The 19,203-nt window shown below is 36.7% G+C and overlaps 1 long non-coding RNA gene across 1 annotated transcript in view; it reads left to right on the top strand.

Annotated features, from left to right (window-relative positions):
• Positions 1-10,327: 10,327 nt before the first annotated feature.
• The window catches only part of LOC105373277 (uncharacterized), a 52,164-nt gene continuing 43,288 nt past the window's right edge, over positions 10,328-19,203 (top strand). The window contains exon 1 of the long non-coding RNA XR_002958498.2: positions 10,328-10,431. This is a non-coding gene — a long non-coding RNA (uncharacterized LOC105373277). The remainder of the gene's footprint in view (positions 10,432-19,203) is intronic.

Below are 19,203 nucleotides of genomic sequence, written 5' to 3'. Positions count from 1 at the left end.
ATTATTTTATAACAAGATGAAAATTGTATCACCAGGTTCTATGATCTCTCACATGCCTTTACTAGCTTTTGTGAAGGTATGTTGTGTAAGAATAGTTATTAAAATTGATGTTTCTATGGGGATACAATTGTTAAAGAATTCCGTTCTGCCAGCTTTCCCACTCTCCTCTCTTTTCACTTTTTTGATTGAGACCTTTGAAGCACAAAAATTTTGAAGTTAGATGAGGTCCAATTATTTATTTTCTTATTGCTCGTTCTTTCGGTATCATGCTAAAAAAAATGCTAAACTTAAGGTCTTGAATATTTAACCTTATCTTTTCTCATATTTTTATAATTTTACTTCTTATGTTTAGGTCCCTGATCAATTTGAGTTTAAGTATGATTTGTAATGCCACTTCATTCTTTTGTTTGTGGATATCTTCTTGTCTGAGCACAATTTGTTAAAGTGAGTATTCTTTTCCCATTGAATGGACGTGGCATGCTTGTCAGATGATTATTGACCATAGACACATGCGTGTATTTCTCATTAGATTCTCAATTGTCTTCTATTTATTTATGCATATATCCTTATTCTGTTATCAGGCTTTTAAAATTAGTGTATCTTTTTGGCAAATTTTGTACTCAGGAAGTGTAAATCTTCCAACTTTGTTTTTCTATTCAAGGTTGTTTTGGATTTTGCAGTCGCTCGTAATTTCATATGATTTTTAGTGTTTTCTACTCTTGCAAAAAAAAAAAGCCATGGAATTTTTATAGGCATTGTATTGAACCTGTGGATATATTTTGGTTGTATTATCTTAACCACAAGTCTCCCAATCCATTAACATGCGATGTTGTTTCATCGGTTTATGTTTTATTTGCTATTAGCAGTACTTTGTAATTTTCAGTGTGTTAGTTGTTTAACACTACTTTAAGTTTCTTCTTGAGTAAGTGTTGGTAGTTTCTGTGTTTCCAGGATTTGGTTTTCATCTCACTGAAGGTATCTAGTTAGTATTCAATTATTTGTAATATTCTCTTATAATTGCTTGTGTTTCTGAAAGGCTAGTTGTTATGTACCCATGTTATATTCATATTTATGTATTCATGATGTAAGACTTCTCTCTTTCTCTCTTTGGTAAGTTTACCTAAAGTTTTCTATATTTTGTTGATCTTTTGAAAGCTCGAAATAGTCAAATTGTTTTTTCTATTCTGCATTTTATTAATCTCTATTCCAATACTTTTTTTTCCTTCTGTTTGCTTTGTATTGAGTCTGCTCTTCTTTTTCTAGTTCCTTAAGGTGTAAAAATATATTATTGTTTTTAGATGTTTCTTCTTTTTTTGAGTATAGGCAATCTAGCTAAAATTTTCCTTCTAAGAGTTGCTTTAGCTGCATCCTATATGTTTTGTTATGTTTTAAGTCATCTGAATATATTTTCTAACTTCATTTCCAATTTCTTTTTTGACCCACCGGTGCTTCACAGTGTGGTGTTTAATCCCCACATATGTGTAACTTTTGTAGTTCTCCCTCTATTTCAGATTTCCAGTTTTATTTCATTGATTGGAAAAGATACTTTGAATTAAATCTTTTAAAATTTAGTCTTATTTGTTTTTGGCAATTTATCCTGGAGAATGTGTTATTAGTACTTGAGAAGCATCTATACTCTGCTATTTCAGTATTCTCCACATATATATTAGGTCATTTGGTTTATAGTGCTGTTCTAGTCACTTACTACTATATTAACATTCTGTCTAAGTGCACTATGCATTATTGAAAATGGACATTTAAGTATTGAACTATAAGTACAGAACTGTTTATTTCTTCCTTTAATTCTGTCCACCTTGGCTTCATATATTTTGGGTCTCTGTTACATTCATTCATGTTTACAATTTTTATATCTAAAGATCTATATTACATTCTCCAAGGAAGATACACAAATGATCCCAAACAGTATACGATTTTTTTTTTACTTATAAAAATTTTTGTCATAAACTCACTTTGTCTCACATTAACATAGCCACTCTGGCTATCTTTCGGTTACCAACTGCACGAAGTATCTGTTTATCTTCATGTATAGTATATGATAAAATGTTATATTCACAGATAAAACAATTTAAAGTATAAAATTATGATTCAATATGCTTTTTAATTTCCTTGAACACTTTCTTTTCTTCTAAATCTATTTTCTTTATTCCTTTATAGTTTATTATTTTCATATGCTTAATAAATTCAGGAATGACAAAGTTGAAATACAACCAACTACATAGAAGTACAAAAAACCCTAAGGGACTATTATGAACACCTCTCTGCAGACAAACTAGAAAACCTAGAAGAAATATATAAATCCCTCGAAACAAGGAATTTATCTATTTCTCCACCCAAGATTATTTAACCTCCTGACATTAAGCCAGGAAGAAATTGAAATCCTGAACAGACCAATAATGGGTTCTGAAATTAAGTCAGTGATTAAAAAAAACCTACCAACCAAAACAAGCCCTGGACCAGATGGATTAACAACCAACTCCTACCAGACATATAAATAAGAGTTGGTACAAAATCTTCTGAAATTATTTTAAAAATTGAGAAGGGAATACTCTCTAAGTCATTCTGTGAAGCCAGCATCATTCTGATACCAAAATTAGGCACAAATACGACAAAAAAAAGTAAAGTTCGGGCCAACATTCCTGAGGAATATAGACACACAATCCTCCACGAAATACCAGCAAACCAAATCCAGCAGCACATCAAAAAGTGAATTCACCACGATCAAGTAGGCTTTATTTCTGGGATGCAAGGTTGGTTCAACAAGTGCAAATCAGTAAATGTGATTCACCACATAAACATAATTAAATACAAAAACCACATGATCATCTCAATAGAAGCAAAATGATTTTTCATAACATTCAGCATCCTTTCTTGTTAAAAACCCTCAATATACTGGGCACCAAATGAACTTATCTCAAAAAAATAAGAGCCATCTATGACACACCCACAGCCACCATCATACTAAACAAGTAAAATCTGGAAGCATTCCTCTTGAGAACTGGAACAATTTGAACAATTCAGTTTTCAATTTCTCATCAAAAATTGTGTTGACATGATTGATTGAAGTATTTTATCCCCCTTTCTCCCAAATACCAGGCCACAGACAGCATGAAATATTTTAAATAAACATTAAAATAAATAAGTCCAGATTGGTCATTAAATCGAGTATTTTTTTTTATTGTATAAACTCAAGATGTACAACATGTTTTGATGTAGATATCTATAGTGAAATAATTACCACATGCTAGCAAATTAACACATCCATCACTGTCTGCAGTTTACTTTTTTGTGATAAAAACACATATAATCTAGTTATTCTCTTAGCAAATTTGTAATGTATAATAAAATAGAACTATAGTCCTTCTGTTGTACATTAGATCTCTAAATATCTTTATGTTACATAACTGTAATTTTGTCTTCTTTTACCTACATTATCCCAATTTGTCTACTTCCCTGACTCTGGCAACTGCCCTTCAACTCCCTATTTATCTTACTCAATTTCCATTTATTTTACACATAAATGAGCTCATGCTGCATTTTTCTTTCTGTGCCTGACTTGTTTCACTTGGCATATTGTACTCCATACTTTAAAATTTATTAAGCTTAAAGAATTAAACAAGTAAGCTCTAGTTGCCTAAGAAGTTAATGTACCCAGAAATATAAATTTCTGAACAATCATGGAAAATGTGTTACAACTATATCTTCTTTCAAGTAGGTCTTGTAAATATTTTCTGTATTAATACTGACTATGCTCTCGTTTGGTTGTCATTCTATTCTGAGTTTTTAACCCTCTTGTTTAACCCAATCTCTCCTCCTCAAAAATGAATAAATGCATTGACTCAAGAAACACTTATTTTTGAGCGTCTGTTTTGGAATAGGTGCTATATTTTAGGCATTGGAAAGACACTAGTGATAAAAATGGTAAAATGCTTTATCTCCTGGATCTTACATTCTATGGTAGAGAAGAGATAATAATCGCAAAAAAACTATCAGGAATGATAAACATTATAAAGAAGAGTAAAATAGGGTGTGTAGGAGATAATTACTGTTTTATATTCACTGCTCAGAGATGTCTTCTCTGATAATCAAGAGAGCAGAGAAGAGAGACCTAAATCAGTTGAAGAAATGGGTCACAACGTATCGGAAAAGAGACCACCAGGCAGAGAGAATAGTAATCTTTTTTTCTTTATTCAGTGTATTAAATGCATTGTGTTTATTGATATACCCCATTAGTTTAATCATATTCCCTCACACTTTGTTATTACCTTTATTTTAATTGCCATTTTTAAATTTTTGTGATGAACAAATAAAATTGTATATATTTATCATGTACAATGTGATATTTTAAAATATGTATATTGTGTGGAATGGGTAAATTGAGGTAATTAACATATGCATCACCTCACATACTTATAATTCTTTGCAGTAAGAAGACAAAATCAACTCTTTGCCTTTATTTCAAAATTATTTCATTGTGTGGTATTTAATATTTTCTATTTAACAAAATGTGTATATTATGTACAAATACCTATGCATAAAACATATTTTATAAGACTAAAATATCCTTAATTTCCCTCTCTTTACACAGTATCTACTAGTTTCCTAGCATAAGGAAGAACAGAAAATATTTCAGAAGATATGTCTATTCTCCTTTCCTTCATCATTCAATTGTAGCCAATATGTTTACACTAGTGCTTATCACTATTTCTTTACACTTGCTTTTATATTTTCTCCATCATCTTTATTATTTTACAATCACTCACAAGCCACGGAGCAGCCATTCAGCTTCGTCCCCATCACTCCCTTTAAATTCTCTCCTGACTCAGGGTGATTCCCATTTCACATCTTTCTGTTGGCCGATTGTCGTCTCTTTTTAGTGGGTCATCAGTTCTCTGAACCGTCATATTTCTGTTTTAAAATGTTTTCTCATTTATAAAACTGCTTTATTAAGGATTTGGGGTTGTAGAGTATTTGAAGTTTATATCAGTATTTAGCTCCGATTTAAGGCAATAATTTTGGGGTAGATTTATTTTTTTTCTATAGTATTTTTGGAAAGACGTTGCATTTTCTAATTTCATTTTTCAGAATTTGATTTGCCTTTCCAGTTGTTACCAGGTGGATTGCATAGGGCTTGCAGGCATTGGGGAATATTCTTGTTTCTCAAGCCCTACAGCTTCATTGTATGCATTCCTGCTGTCTTCTCCATGTTCATTTCTACCACCTTCCTATTCGTGGTTATGCCTGGGATGGTGACCCCCTTAGTTTAGGCAAGATTGTCCTGTTATCTCCACCACTTCTTTCCCAGGTATACTCCCTGCATCTATCTCTTCAATAATCCTCAGATTGCTACCTGGCTCCGTGTTCATCAGGCTTGGGTATAGCAGTTTACACTTGTGAGAGGACCCTCTCCTTCTTGGGGAATAATATTTCCTGGTATTTTTTATCATTACCACCACCAGTGACCTTGACTGGGTCTCTTCTCTGCCGGACTTCCTGCTTCCAATATGGAGTTTCTGTACCAATTCTGATGAGTGTCCGTGACTTTCTTCCCCTTCCTTACGTGTAATTTATAGTTGATGGATTGCCTTTGTCTCCTGATTTCAGTGAAGGAATCATTTGTGCTTTTTTCATTTTTTTTGTCTTGGATGTTTATTATATCATTGGAGAATTAAAGTAGGATAAAAAGATTGGAAGACTATCTAAAAGTTTGTATCAGCAACTAGGACTCCCTTATGTATGTTTGAACAGTTTTGTTCTGTTTGCTTTTGTGAGAAATGAGATGAATTGATGTGCAAAGTGTTATTAGTTAGGGTGCCTCAATATAGGCCCAGGAAACATTGGAACACCAAAATGGATGGAGCAGACATGAGCAGAACACAAAAAAGAAATAAACAGCAATATGATAATAGTAGGGGATTATAATACCCCACTCTCAACACTCATAAACAACAAATGGACCCAAAAATAAAGACAATTTAAAAATATCCTGAGACAAACAAAAATGGACAAATAACATACCAAATCATGGGGTACAGCAAAAGTAGTTCTGATAGCTACTGAGACAGAGAGAGAAATGATCCCAAATAAGCAACCTAACTTGGCACTCTGGGAATTAGAAAAGAAGAAAAAAGCCAAAAGTTAGAAGAAAGAAGAAAGTTATAAAGGTTAGAGCAGAATTAAACAGATAAGAAAGACAAAAGAAAAGATCAGTAACACGAGGAGTTGGTTCTGTAAAAACGTGAGGAAAATTGGCAAACCTTTAGGTAGACAAACCAAGAAAACTAAGAGAGATGACTCAAATAAAACTATAAGTAAAGCAGGAGAAATTAGTCAATACTACCAAAATACAAAGGGTCATAAGAGATTATCATGACCAATTATGTCAATAAATTGAGTAACGTAGAAGAAATGGATAAATTCTTAGACATGTATGTCCTGAAGAAAGAATAAACCTGAACAAATTAATAACTAGTACAGAGATTAAATCACCAATAATAATAATAATAAACTTAAAAGTTCAGGACTTGATGCTTTTACTGGTGATTGCTACCAAATATCTAAAGACAGATTAATGCTATTCTCAAACTTTTCCAAACAATTAAAAAGGGTGCACTTTCCAACACATTTTTTCATGCATTACCCTAACACCAATGTCAGACAAGGACGGTATAAGAAAATTACAGGCCAATTTATTTTATGATCATGGATGTAAAGATTCTCAACACTAGCAAACTGAATTCAATATGTTCAAAAGATCATTTAGTTGAATGTTTTCTTTCTTCTGAAATTCTTCATTTTGCTTCCAAATGTCATTTTTCCTTATATTTTATTTTTTCATTAATCAAATTTAATTTTAAAATTTCCAACTAAAAAAATCTGTGGGTTTAATAAACATATTTTTAATTAACATTTAAAAAAAGCACAAGTTTGTAAATTGTATATTTTCTGTCCATTAGATTTTGGTTTGAGTATTGGGCCAATTGCACGGTAAGCTTTTTAATTTTTTTCCAGAAGTAATCCCAGGACCTTAAATCTCCACTGAAACTCTCGAAGTTTAATTGGTCAGCTGGGATTGTAGTCCCTGGGGTGTTGAAAGCATAAATAAGCCATACCTTAAGTCTGGACCATTTATCCCTGTAGGGAGTCCCTCTTCTCCTCTGTTCTCTTTCAGAACTACTTATTACTTTAGGTTCAGTGTATGTAGCATATGGTGACTCTATGGGTTTCAGTTTTCTGAACCCCAAATATGCAAAAATATAGAAAAAGCAGACCAGGCATCCCACCTTCTGTGTGCCACTAAGGGAGCATCTCTTCCTCTTTCTCCCCTAATAAGTTGTATATTATTTTCTCAGTATTTTAATTTTTTGCTATTTATATTATCTGAGATTTATCATTGGAATCATACAAATATTAAACCAGGAAAGATCACCCAGGAAGAAATTGAGATCACCCACAATATCAGGTATTCTAAAACATGTTATATGAAAATTGTAATAATTAAAACATGAATCACAAATCTTGCAGGTAGAAATGTCAACATATTAATTTTTTTGAGGAAGAGCAACTTGGATGAATATATGGATGTAAACTTGCTGATCAACTACAGCCAAAAATTACATTGTAATTGTAACGTGTCCCTAAACTTGACCCATTACCAATCCTGATAAGTCTGTGCTTAGGATTATGTAGATTTTCAAAGGATTGAAATGTAGTTGCCTTTTCCAAATCTTGACTAGCTTGTCTGACAAGGTAGGATCATGTCAAGTAGATTGGACTGAGGTGATCCCTTTATTTTAAAGAGCAGTCTTTGGCAAACACTGATACTAGAAACTGATATGATTTTGCTCTTGTTGAAGAATTTTACTTATTATAAATGTTTTTTAAAAACAAGGGAAGGAAACATAATCTTAAAACCACTCATTTGTGTCCATCCACATTATACTGTAGAGAAGACTGACTTTTTTTTCAGGTGATTATTGTAGCAAAACATTTTAAGTTTTATTGAGATCGTTTGTCATGTCTAAATTTGTTCATCATAATATATCCTGAGCTTAGTTCAGTGCCTGGCTCATGATAAATTTTATTTATTTAGTGTGGTGAGAGCACTTAACAGGAAATTTACCCTCTTACACTTTTTCAGTGCACGATTCAGTACTGTGAACTCCAGGCACGGTGCTGCACAGCCAATCTCTAGGACTTCATCTTGTGTCACTGAAACCTTATACCCATTGCACAGTAGATCAAGAGAAGAAATACTTGATACACGGCACAAGACCTATAGAACACGCAGGGAAAACTTCTTCTGGCATCAGAAAACCTGTTCATTGCTGAGTTCATTCATTATATTCACCTCCTTACACCACAATGCTAACCCATGAATCTAACTGGCTGTGACAAAACTGTCTTTCATAAACCTACAGACTTTAAGATTTATGGAAAGAGAAAGACCTGTGGCATCCTAGAATTCTAACATCCACTCTTGGATCATCATGACCACTTAGCAGAGCTTTGCATTGAATTCCAGATAAAGAATATCAAACTCAAGGATATAGCAGCTCTTGAATAATGGGAAAGATAAATGAAGTGTTTGGCAAGTAGAAAGATAATCATGAAGTTCAGTCATTAAAGTCTCGCCCTGAACAAATGCCATGGACTTGACATCATAAAAAACATAAAATAGGTATAAGTCAAAAATGTTTATTTTGGGAAATTATATTTAAATCAAAATCAAAAATATACTCATCTGAAAGACAACAGAAAGTTCTGTCACCAAGGGAAATAAAACTCTAATTACCAAAACAAAATGTAAACAAAATAAAACTTACATAAATATATACATTCATGCATTCAAAAGAAGTTGCATAGAATTTTATTTAGCCATATCTCAGTATTTTGGAATTTTGCAAACACCAAGAGTCGCAATAATAATACATAATCTTCGTCTCTCACTCTGTTATTTTTTCCTCAAGCTTGGGAAAGATAATGTGTGAGTGGATAGAGTGATTCTGGGGATCGGGATGAGACAATTCTGCTTAAGGCAACTTCTCTTAGGATGGCAGGAGGTAGCAAGAGAAGAAAGGGCAGAATAACCATTACAGTTTACACCATATTTATAGCTATAATGCCTTAATATAATATGAAGTAATTACTTTCAATTACTTTTTAATAACAGAGATATATACAATATATATTCTTTAAAATGGTTATCTAAAAGTTTAAGAAATTAAAAAACCTTAATCTTAGAAATTATCTAGAAATTTAAATTTCTGAATTATAGGTAAATGTGTTATGATTTTCTTTTTTCAAATAAGCCTTACAAATATTTTCAATATTGATATTGTTTCATTTTAAATGTGCCACTAACATGATGCTGTCATTTCATTGTCATTCTAGCAGTAAGGATTCTGAGTCCTTAGCACTCTGTTTGACCCAGCCTCTCCTTCCAGGAAATGACTAAATATACTCATTCAGAGCATATTTATTTTTGAGCATCTACTTTGGGGCTACCACTGTGTTAGGCTTTCAGCACACAGCAGTGATAAAAATGAGCAAAATGTCTCATCTTATTAATATGACACTATATTGTGGAAAAGAGAAACAATTGTAAAAAATATGTTCAAGATTGTTAATTTTATGAAGAAAAATAAGACAGCATAAGGGACAGATCAGTCATTTTTATTCATTGGTCATTGAAATCTTTTCTGATAATCGAATAGCACAGAAGAGACCTAAAAGAACTGAAATAATGGGTTCTAGTGTATCTGGGGAAAACGACTCAAGGTAAAGGGAACCATCATCTTTTTCAGATGGCACTCAGAGCCATAAGAGGTTCAGATAGATCCACCCAGCAGTGAGTGCAGTGGGTTTTTCTAGGCAGAAAACACAGAAGAAACATCAAGAAATCACATGATTGGCTTGCCATGTCCAAGTCCTTTTCTAATTTTGTTTTTCTTTTTAAAGCATATTTTTTGCCTGCTACCATGACTTGTAATTTTTGATGATGTTGTTGAAAGCTGATGTATTCATTTGCTATGCGTACCATAGCATTCTGGTAGTTTGATGACAACCTTTGGCATTCCTTGGCTTGAAGTAGCATTACTTCAATCTATTCCTTTATCTTCAAAAGATAATATTCCTGGGTGCATGTCCAACTTTTTTTAAATAAGGACACCAGTTTCAAAGGTAAAGCCCAGACACTGGTTAAGGTAGTGAGGACAGATTTTAATTAGTAACATATTTTGGGGTATTTGTGGGTTTTTCACCTAAAATGTAATCTTACACAGGCTGTAGATTATATCTCTGTTTCCAGGAAGCCCCGTGTGTTGCTTTGTGTGTGCATCAGTCTCTCGAGAACCCCCTGTGAATCAGGAGGCATACGTTCCAGTGACTATAGGGAGTCGAGGGGCTAAAGAGGTAAGTGAAACATCTGGTAGGGGTAAAAGGATGGGTATATATCAAAAGTCAGGGGTGTTTAATGGAAAAGAGGTGCATATCAAAGTGTCAGGGGAGTTCAATGGAAAAAGTTAAGATGGTAAAAGAAAGAAGGAAAAAAGAAGGAAATGGGAAGGGAGCAGTCCTATAAGAGCCACTTTAGGCAGATCTTAAGATTTTCAAATAAACCATTGCAGTTCCGAATTATCCACAGTAAAGTCATTTTGCCTAAAATAGAAGCAGACATGGTTAGTGTCATAGTATATATAGAGAGTAGGAACCCAAAAGGGGTTTAACTGTGGAGTTCCTGTGGGAAGAGTAAGTTCAAATAGAATGAAGAGGTCTCACAAGAAGCCAGAGTGAACATTCCAGCACAGGAGTTAGGAAGTGAATTCCCACTGAAAACAGGGAGCCAGGAAGATAAACAGCCAGCCCAGGAGATGTCTTTCAAAAGCAGCCTGGAATTATAACCCAGCCTTAGAGACTACAGCCAGAAACATAGGAAGAAAATATGTCCTCGCCATGCCTCAGTGCAAATTTCTACACAGTGTTAGGCCAGAAGTTGAACTCGCCACCAAATACCCAAAAAAGTAAGTCAACTGAAGATCAGACAAAGGTTTCTACGCATGCAGAAAGGATTGACTGTTTTGTCCAAGGGCCAGATAAGGGTTCCAATCTGGATTTGAGTTCCAGTGCCAGATAACTGTCAAGACAAACAAAATGGAAAACTGGTTAAAGAGGTAAGAACGTGCTTTAACTAGTCATATACTATTGAAACAGGCAAGAGTTCAGCATGAACTTAACTTTGATGTATCCAGGTTGAGGAAAATGTTAAAGGGAGTTTGAGGAAAGAGAAATGGGAGTTAGTGGGGGCTCAGGAGGGTCAGGGATGTGAGAAATTACAAATCGTGAGAAGGGGGGAGTTGGTTCCTGTGAAACCCATTTGCTTTGTTAACTGATACTTGCTGATGTTGGGCTTCTACCCTCCCACAGAGGTCAGGAGACACCAGGCCTATCTTCAAGTCTTGGCTGGGACAAGCATGCTATAGATTGTCTGTGTACTTACATAAGTTATATGTTGAAATCTTAAACCCCAATGTGATGATATTGGGAGAGGAAGTCTTTGGGGGTTGATTAGATCATGAGTGATGAACTCATGAATGGCCTTAGTGACCTCATAAAAGAGACTCCAGAGAGCTTTCTTGCCTCTTCTGCCATGTGAGGGCACAGCAAGAAGACCATGCTCTATAAATCAGAAAATGGGTCCTTACAGACCAAACTGGCTGGCACCTTTATTGTGGACTTTCCAATCTGTGGAAATGTGAGAAATAAGTGTTGTGTAAGGCCATGGTATTTTTGTTATAGGAACCATGAAGACAGGCAGGTTTCAGTTTTCTCAGACAGTTCACTTTAAGGGAGACTGGGTCGTTCGTTCTAGAGATGTAGACTTGAACTGTTACCAACTATGTTCCTGTCTTTTTCAAGTTTTTATAGACCAAAGTTAAGGCTGAATTGAGAAGGCTCAGAAGACCCTGGCTAGAGTTTCGTCAAGTTTAAAATGATCGTCAACTCTGTATACATCAAAATTGAGTTCAGTGCGTGCTGGACTGTTTTCTCTGTTTCAATAGTATATGACTCATTAAAATATGTTGTTACTACTTTTTCTTCAATCATATTGGATTAGGGACACTTTCTACTAGAGTATGTTCTCATCTTCAATTAACTAATTACATCTGCAATGGTCCTATTTCCAAATAAGGGTACATTCTGAGATAGTTGGGGGTATGACTTCAATATATGAGTCTGTGGGGATACAATTCTTACCATAATTTACATGATGTGTTAGGTAAAGATAAACAGGCGTTTAGTGTGAAGTTTATGTTTATGTGTTAGGCTATGTTTATCGCTAGTTTTACCTCTGATGTCAGAGGCCATAATTTGCTCTAGTGTTCTTATTTTTGTGTCCTCTGTTATCTTTGGCTTTTCTACAGATTCATTGTTAAACAGGATTTGAGGCTTGTCATCCTTCCATGTGCATCCTCTGTTATCATACATGAGATATTTTAATGTGTTTGTCAGTGTGGAAGGGAGAGAAATCATTCTATAGTCCTACAAATTGGTCTGAATCTATTTGCCAGCATGTGTTCTTGGACTGCAACCTTCAAAGAGCTTCTTAACATCCCCTGCCCACCCCCACATAGGTGTGACACAGGTTAGAAGGACCTGGAGTTGGGTATTTTCCTTCTAGCATATTGGTTAGCCTGTGGTAAAACCCCAGTAATACGGCAGCCTCTGTTAAATAGTTTATTTTTTTTAATTATACTTTAAGTTCTAGGGTACATGTACACAACGTGCAGGTTTGTTACATATGTATACATGTGCCATGTTGGTGTGCTACACCCATTAACTCGTCATTTACATTAGGTATATGTCCTAATGCTATCCCTCCCTCCTCCCCCCACCCCACAACAGGCCCTGGTGTGTGATGTCCCCCTTCCTGTGTCCAGGTGTTCTTATTGTTCAATTCCCACCTATAAGTGAGAACATGCGATGTTTGGTTTTTTGTTTTGCAATAGTTTGCTGAGAATGATGGTTTCCAGCTTCATCCATCTCCCTACAAAGGACAAGAACTCATCATTTTTTAAGGCTGCAGAGTATTCCATGGTGTATATGTGCCACATTTTCTTTTGTGTGTGTGTTTTTTTTTTTGTTTTGTTTAAGTTTTTCTTTTATTATTATACTTTAAGTTTTAGGGTACATGTGCACATTGTGCAGATTAGTTACATACGTATACATGTGCCATGCTGGTGCGCTGCACCCACTAACTCGTCATCTAGCATTAGGTATATCTCCCAATGCTATCCCTCCCCCCACCCCACAACAGTCCCCAGAGTGTGATGTTCCCCTTCCTGTGTCCATGTGATCTCATTGTTCAATTCCCACCTATGAGTGAGATTATGCGGTGTTTGGTTTTTTGTTCTTGCGATAGTTTACTGAGAATGATGATTTCCAATTTCATCCATGTCCCTACAAAGGACATGAACTCATCCTTTTTTATGGCTGCATAGTATTCCATGGTGTATATGTGCCACATTTTCTTAATCCAGTCTATCATTGTTGGACATTTGGGTTGGTTCCAAGTCTTTGCTATTGTGAATAATGCCGCAATAAACATACGTGTGCATGGGTCTTATAGCAGCATGATTTATAGTCCTTTGGGTATATACCCAGTAATGGGATGGCTGAGTCAAATGGTATTTCTAGTTCTAGATCCCTGAGGAATCGCCACACTGACTTCCACAATGGTTGAACTAGTTTACAGTCCCACCAACAGTGTAAAAATGTTTCTATTTCTCCACATCCTCTCCAGCACCTGTTGTTTCCTGACTTTTTAATGTTTGCCATTCTAACTGGTGTGAGATGGTATCTCATTGTGGTTTTGATTTGCATTTCTCTGATGGCCGGTGATGATGAGCATTTTTCATGTGTTTTTTGGCTGCATAAATATCTTCTTTTGAGAAGTGTCTGTTCATATCCTTCACCCACTTTTTGATGGGGTTGTTTTTTTCTTGTAAATTTGTTTGAGTTCATTGTAGATTCTGGATATTAGCCCTTTGTCAGATGAGTAGGTTGCGAAAATTTCCTCCCATTTTGTAGGTTGCCTGTTCAGTCTGATGGTAGTTTCTTTTGCTGTGCAGAAGCTCTTTAGTTTAATTAGATCCCATTTGTCAATTTTGGCTTTTGCTGCCATTGCTTTTGGTGTTTTAGACATGAAGTCCTTGCCCATGCCTATGTCCTGAATGGTACTGCCTAGGTTTTCTTCTAGGGCTTTTATGGTTTTAGGTCTAACGTTTAAGTCTTTAATCCATCTTGAATTGATTTTTGTATAAGGTGTAAGGAAGGGATCCAGTTTCAGCTTTCTACATATTGCTAGCCAATTTTCCCAGCACCATTTATTAAATAGGGAATCCTTTCCCCATTGCTTTTCTCAGGTTTGTCAAAGATCAGATAGTTGTAGATATGCGGCGTTATTTCTGAGGGCTCTGTTCTGTTCCATTGATCTATATTTCTGTTTTGGTACCAGTACCATGCTGTTTTGGTTACTGTAGCCTTGTAGTATAGTTTGAATTCAGGTAGTGTGATGCCTCGAGGTTTGTTCTTTTGGCTTAGGATTGACTTGGTGATGTGGGCTCTTTTTTGGTTCCATATGAACTTTAAAGTAGTTTTTTCCAATTCTGTGAAGAAAGGCATTGGTAGCTTGATGGGGATGGCATTGAATCTGTAAATTACCTTGGGCAGTATGGCCATTTTCATGATATTGATTCTTCCTACCCATGAGCATAGAATGTTCTTCCATTTGTTTGTATCCTCTTTTATTTCCTTGAGCAGTGGTTTGTAGTTCTCCTTGAAGATGTCCTTCACATCCCTTGTAAGTTGGATTCCTAGGTATTTTATTCTCTTTGAAGCAATTGTGAATGGGAGTTCACTCATGATTTGGCTCTCTGTCTATTGTTGGTGTATAAGAATGCTTATGATTTTTGTACACTGATTTTGTATCCTGAGATTTTGCTGAAGTTGCTTATCAGCTTAAGGAGATTTTGGGCTGAGACAATGGGGTTTTCTAGATATACAATCATGTCATCTGCAAACAGGGACAATTTGACTTCCTCTTTTCCTAATTGAATACCCTTTATTTCCTTCTCCTGCCTAATTGCCCTGGCCAGAACTTCCAACACTATGTTGAATAGGAGTGGTGAGAGAGGGCATCCTGTCTTGTGCCAGTTTTCAAAGGGAATGCTTCCAGTTTATGCCCATTCAGTATGATATTGGCTGTGGCTTTGTCATAGATAGCTCTTATGATTTTGAAATACATCCCATCAATACCTAATTTATTGAGAGTTTTTAGCATGAAGGGTTGTTGAATTTTGTCAAAGGCCTTTTCTGCATCTATTGAGATAATCATGTGGTTTTTGTCTTTGGCTCTGTTTATATGCTGGATTACATTGATTGATTTGCTTATATTGAACCAGCCTTGCATCCCAGGGATGAAGCCCACTCGATCATGGTGGATAAGCTTTTTGATGTGCTGCTGGATTCGGTTTGCCAGTATTTTATTGAGGATTTTTGCATCAATGTTCATCAAGGATATTGGTCTAAAATTCTCTTTTTTGGTTGTGTCTCTGCCCAGCTTTGGTATCAGGATGATGCTGGCCTCATAAAATGAGTTAGGGAGGATTCCTTCTTTTTCTATTGATTGGAATAGTTTCAGAAGGAATGGTACCAGTTCCTCCTTGTACCTCTGGCAGAATTCGGCTGTGAATCCGTCTGGTCCTGGACTCTTTTTGGTTGGTAAGCTATTGATTATTGCCACAATTTCAAATCCTGTTATTGGTCTATTCAGAGATTCAACTTCTTCCTGGTTTAGTCTTGGGAGAGTGTATGTGTCGAGGAATTTATCCATTTCTTCTAGATTTTCTAGTTTATTTGCGTAGAGGTGTTTGTAGTATTCTCTGATGGTAGTTTGTATTTCTGTGGGATAGGTGGTGATATCCCCTTTATCATTTTTTATTGCTTCTATTTGATTCTTCTCTCTTTTTTTATTAGTCTTGCTAGCGGTCTATTTTGTTGATCCTTTCAAAAAACCAGCTCCTGGATTCATTAATTTTTTGATGGGTTTTTTGTGTGTCTATTTCCTTCAGTTCTGCTCTGATTTTAGTTATTTCTTGCCTTCTGCTAGCTTTTGAATGTGTTTGCTCTTGCTTTTCTACTTCTTTTAATTGTGATGTTAGGGTGTCAATTTTGGATCTTTCCTGCTTTCTCTTGTGGGCATTTAGTGCTATAAATTTCCCTCTACACACTGCTTTGAATGTGTCCCAGAGATTCTGGTATGTTGTGTCTTTGTTCTCATTGGTTTCAAAGAACATCTTTATTTCTGCCTTCATTTTGTTATATACCCAGTAGTCATTCAGGAGCAGGTTGTTCAGTTTCCATGTAGTTGAGTGGTTTTGAGTGAGATTCTTAATCCTTAGTTCTAGTTTGATTGCACTGTGGTCTGAGAGATAGTTTGTTATAATTTCTGTTCTTTTACATTTGCTGAGGAGAGCTTTACTTCCAAGTATGTGGTCAATTTTGGAATAGGTGTGGTGTGGTGCTGAAAAAAATGTATATTCTGTTGATTTGGGATGGAGAGTTCTGTAGATGTCTATTAGGTCTGCTTGGTGCAGAGCTGAGTTCAATTCCTGGGTATCCTTGTTGACTTTCTGTCTTGTTGATCTGTCTAATGTTGACAGTGGGGTGTTAAAGTCTCCCATTATTAATGTGTGGGAGTCTAAGTCTCTTTGTAGGTCACTCAGGACTTGCTTTATGAATCTGAGTGCTCCTCTGTTGGGTGCATATATATTTAGGATAGTTGGCTCTTCTTGTTGAATTGATCCCTTTACCATTATGTAATGGCCTTCTTTGTCTCTTTTGATCTTTGTTGGTTTAAAGTCTGTTTTATCAGACTAGGATTGCAACCCCTGCCTTTTTTTGTTTTCCATTTGCTTGGTATATTTTCCTCCATCCTTTTATTTTGAGCCTATGTGTGTCTCTGCACGTGAGATGGGTTTCCTGAATACAGCACACTGATGGGTCTTGACTGTTTATCCAATTTGCCAGTCTGTGTCTTTTAATTGGAACATTTAGTCCATTTACATTTAAAGTTAATATTGTTATGTGTGAATCTGATCCTGTCATTATGATGTCAGCTGGTTATTTTGCTCGTTAGTTGATGCAGTTTCTTCCTAGTCTCAATGGTCTTTACATTTTGGCATGATTTTGCAGCGGCTGGTACCGGTTGTTCCTTTCCATGTTTAGTGCTTCCTTCAGGAGCTCTTTTAGGGCAGGCCTGGTGGTGACAAAATCTCTCAGCATTTGCTTGTCTGTAAAGTATTTTATTTCTCCTTCATTTAGGAAGCTTAGTTTGGCTGGATATGAAATTCTGGGTTGAAAATTCTTTTCTTTAGAATGTTGAATATTGGCCCCCACTCTCTTCTGGCTTGTAGGGTTTCTGCCAAGAGATCCGCTGTTAGTCTGATGGGCTTCCCTTTGAGGGTAACCTGACCTTTCTCTCTGGCTGCCCTTAACATTTTTTCCTTCATTTCAACTTTGGTGAATCTGACAATTATGTTTCTTGGAGTTGCTCTTCTCGAGGAGTATCTTTGTGGCATTCTCTGTATTTCCTGAACCTGAATTTTGGCCTGCCTTGCTAGATTGGGGAAGTTCTCCTGGATAATATCCTGCAGAGTGTTTTCCAACTTGGTTCCATTCTCACCATCACTTTCAGGTACACCAATCAGATGTAGATTTGGTCTTTTCACATAGTCCCATATTTCTTGGAGGCTTTGCTCTTTTTATTCTTTTTTCTCTAAACTTCCCTTCTCACTTCATTTGATTCATTTCATCTTCCATCACTGATAGCCTTTCTCCAGTTGATTGCATTGCCTCCTGAGGCTTCTGCATTCTTCATGTAGTTCTCAAGCCTTGGTTTTCAGCTCCATCAGCTCCTTTAAGCATTTCTCTGTATTGGTTATTCTAGTTATACATTCTTCTAAATTTTTTTCAAAGTTTTCAACTTCTTTGCCTTTAGTTTGAATGTCCTCCCGTAGCTCAGAGTAATTTGATCGTCTGAAGCCTTCTTCTCTCAGCTCGTCAAAGTCATTCTCCATCCAGCTTTGTTCCGTTGCTGGTGAGGAACTGCGTTCCTTTGGAAGAGGAGAGGCGCTCTGCTTTTTAGAGTTTCCAGTTTTTCTGTTCTGTTTTTTCCCATCTTTGTGGTTTTATCTACTTTTGGTCTTCGATGATGGTGATGTACAGAAGGGTTTTTGGTGTGGATGTCCTTTCTGTTTGTCAGTTTTCCTTCTAACAGACAGGACCCTCAGCTGCAGGTCTGTTGGAGTACCCTGCCGTGTGAGGTGTCAGTCTGCCCCTGCTGGGGGGTGCCTCCCAGTTAGGCTGCTCAGGGGTCAGGGGTCAGGGACCCACTTGAGGAGGCAGTCTGCCCGTTCTCAGATCTCCAGCTGCGTGCTGGGAGAACCAGTGCTCTCTTCAAAGCTGTCAGACAGGGACATTTAAGTCTGCAGAGGTTACTGCTGTCTTTGTCTGTGCCCTGCCCTCAGAGGTGGAGCCTACAGAGGCAGGCAGGCCTCCTTGAGCTGTGGTGGGCTCCACCCAGTTCGAGCTTCCTGGCTGCTTTGTTTACCTAAGCAAGCCTGGGCAATGGCGGGTGCCCCTCCCCCAGCCTTGCTGCCGCCTTGCAGTTTGATCTCAGACTGCTGTGCTAGCAATCAGCGAGACTCCGACTCCGTGGGAGTACGACCCTCCGAGCCAGGTGCGGGATATAATCTCGTGGTGCGCTGTTTTTTAAGCACGTCGGAAAAGTGCAGTATTTGGGTGGGAGTGACCCAATTTTCCACGTGCCCTCCGTCACCCCTTTCTTTGACTAGGAAAGGGAACTCCCTGACCCCTTGCGCTTCCCGAGTGAGGCAGTGCCTCGCCCTGCTTTGGCTTGCACATGGTGCGCGCACCCACTGACCTGCACCCACTGTCTGGCACTCCCTAGTGAGACGAACCCGGTACCTCAGATGGAAAAGCAGAAATCACCTGTCTTCTGCGTCGCTCACGCTGGGAGCTGTAGACCGGAGCTGTTCCTATTCGGCCATCTTCGCCACATTTTCTTAATCCACTTTATCATTGTTGGACATTTGGGTTGGTTCC

The sequence above is a fragment of the Homo sapiens genome, chromosome 1 (genome assembly GCF_000001405.40).
Source record: "Homo sapiens chromosome 1, GRCh38.p14 Primary Assembly".
NCBI classification, from domain to species: Eukaryota; Metazoa; Chordata; class Mammalia; order Primates; family Hominidae; genus Homo; species Homo sapiens.
Note: the sequence above shows the minus strand (reverse complement) of the source record. Positions and strands in the feature narration are given on the sequence as shown.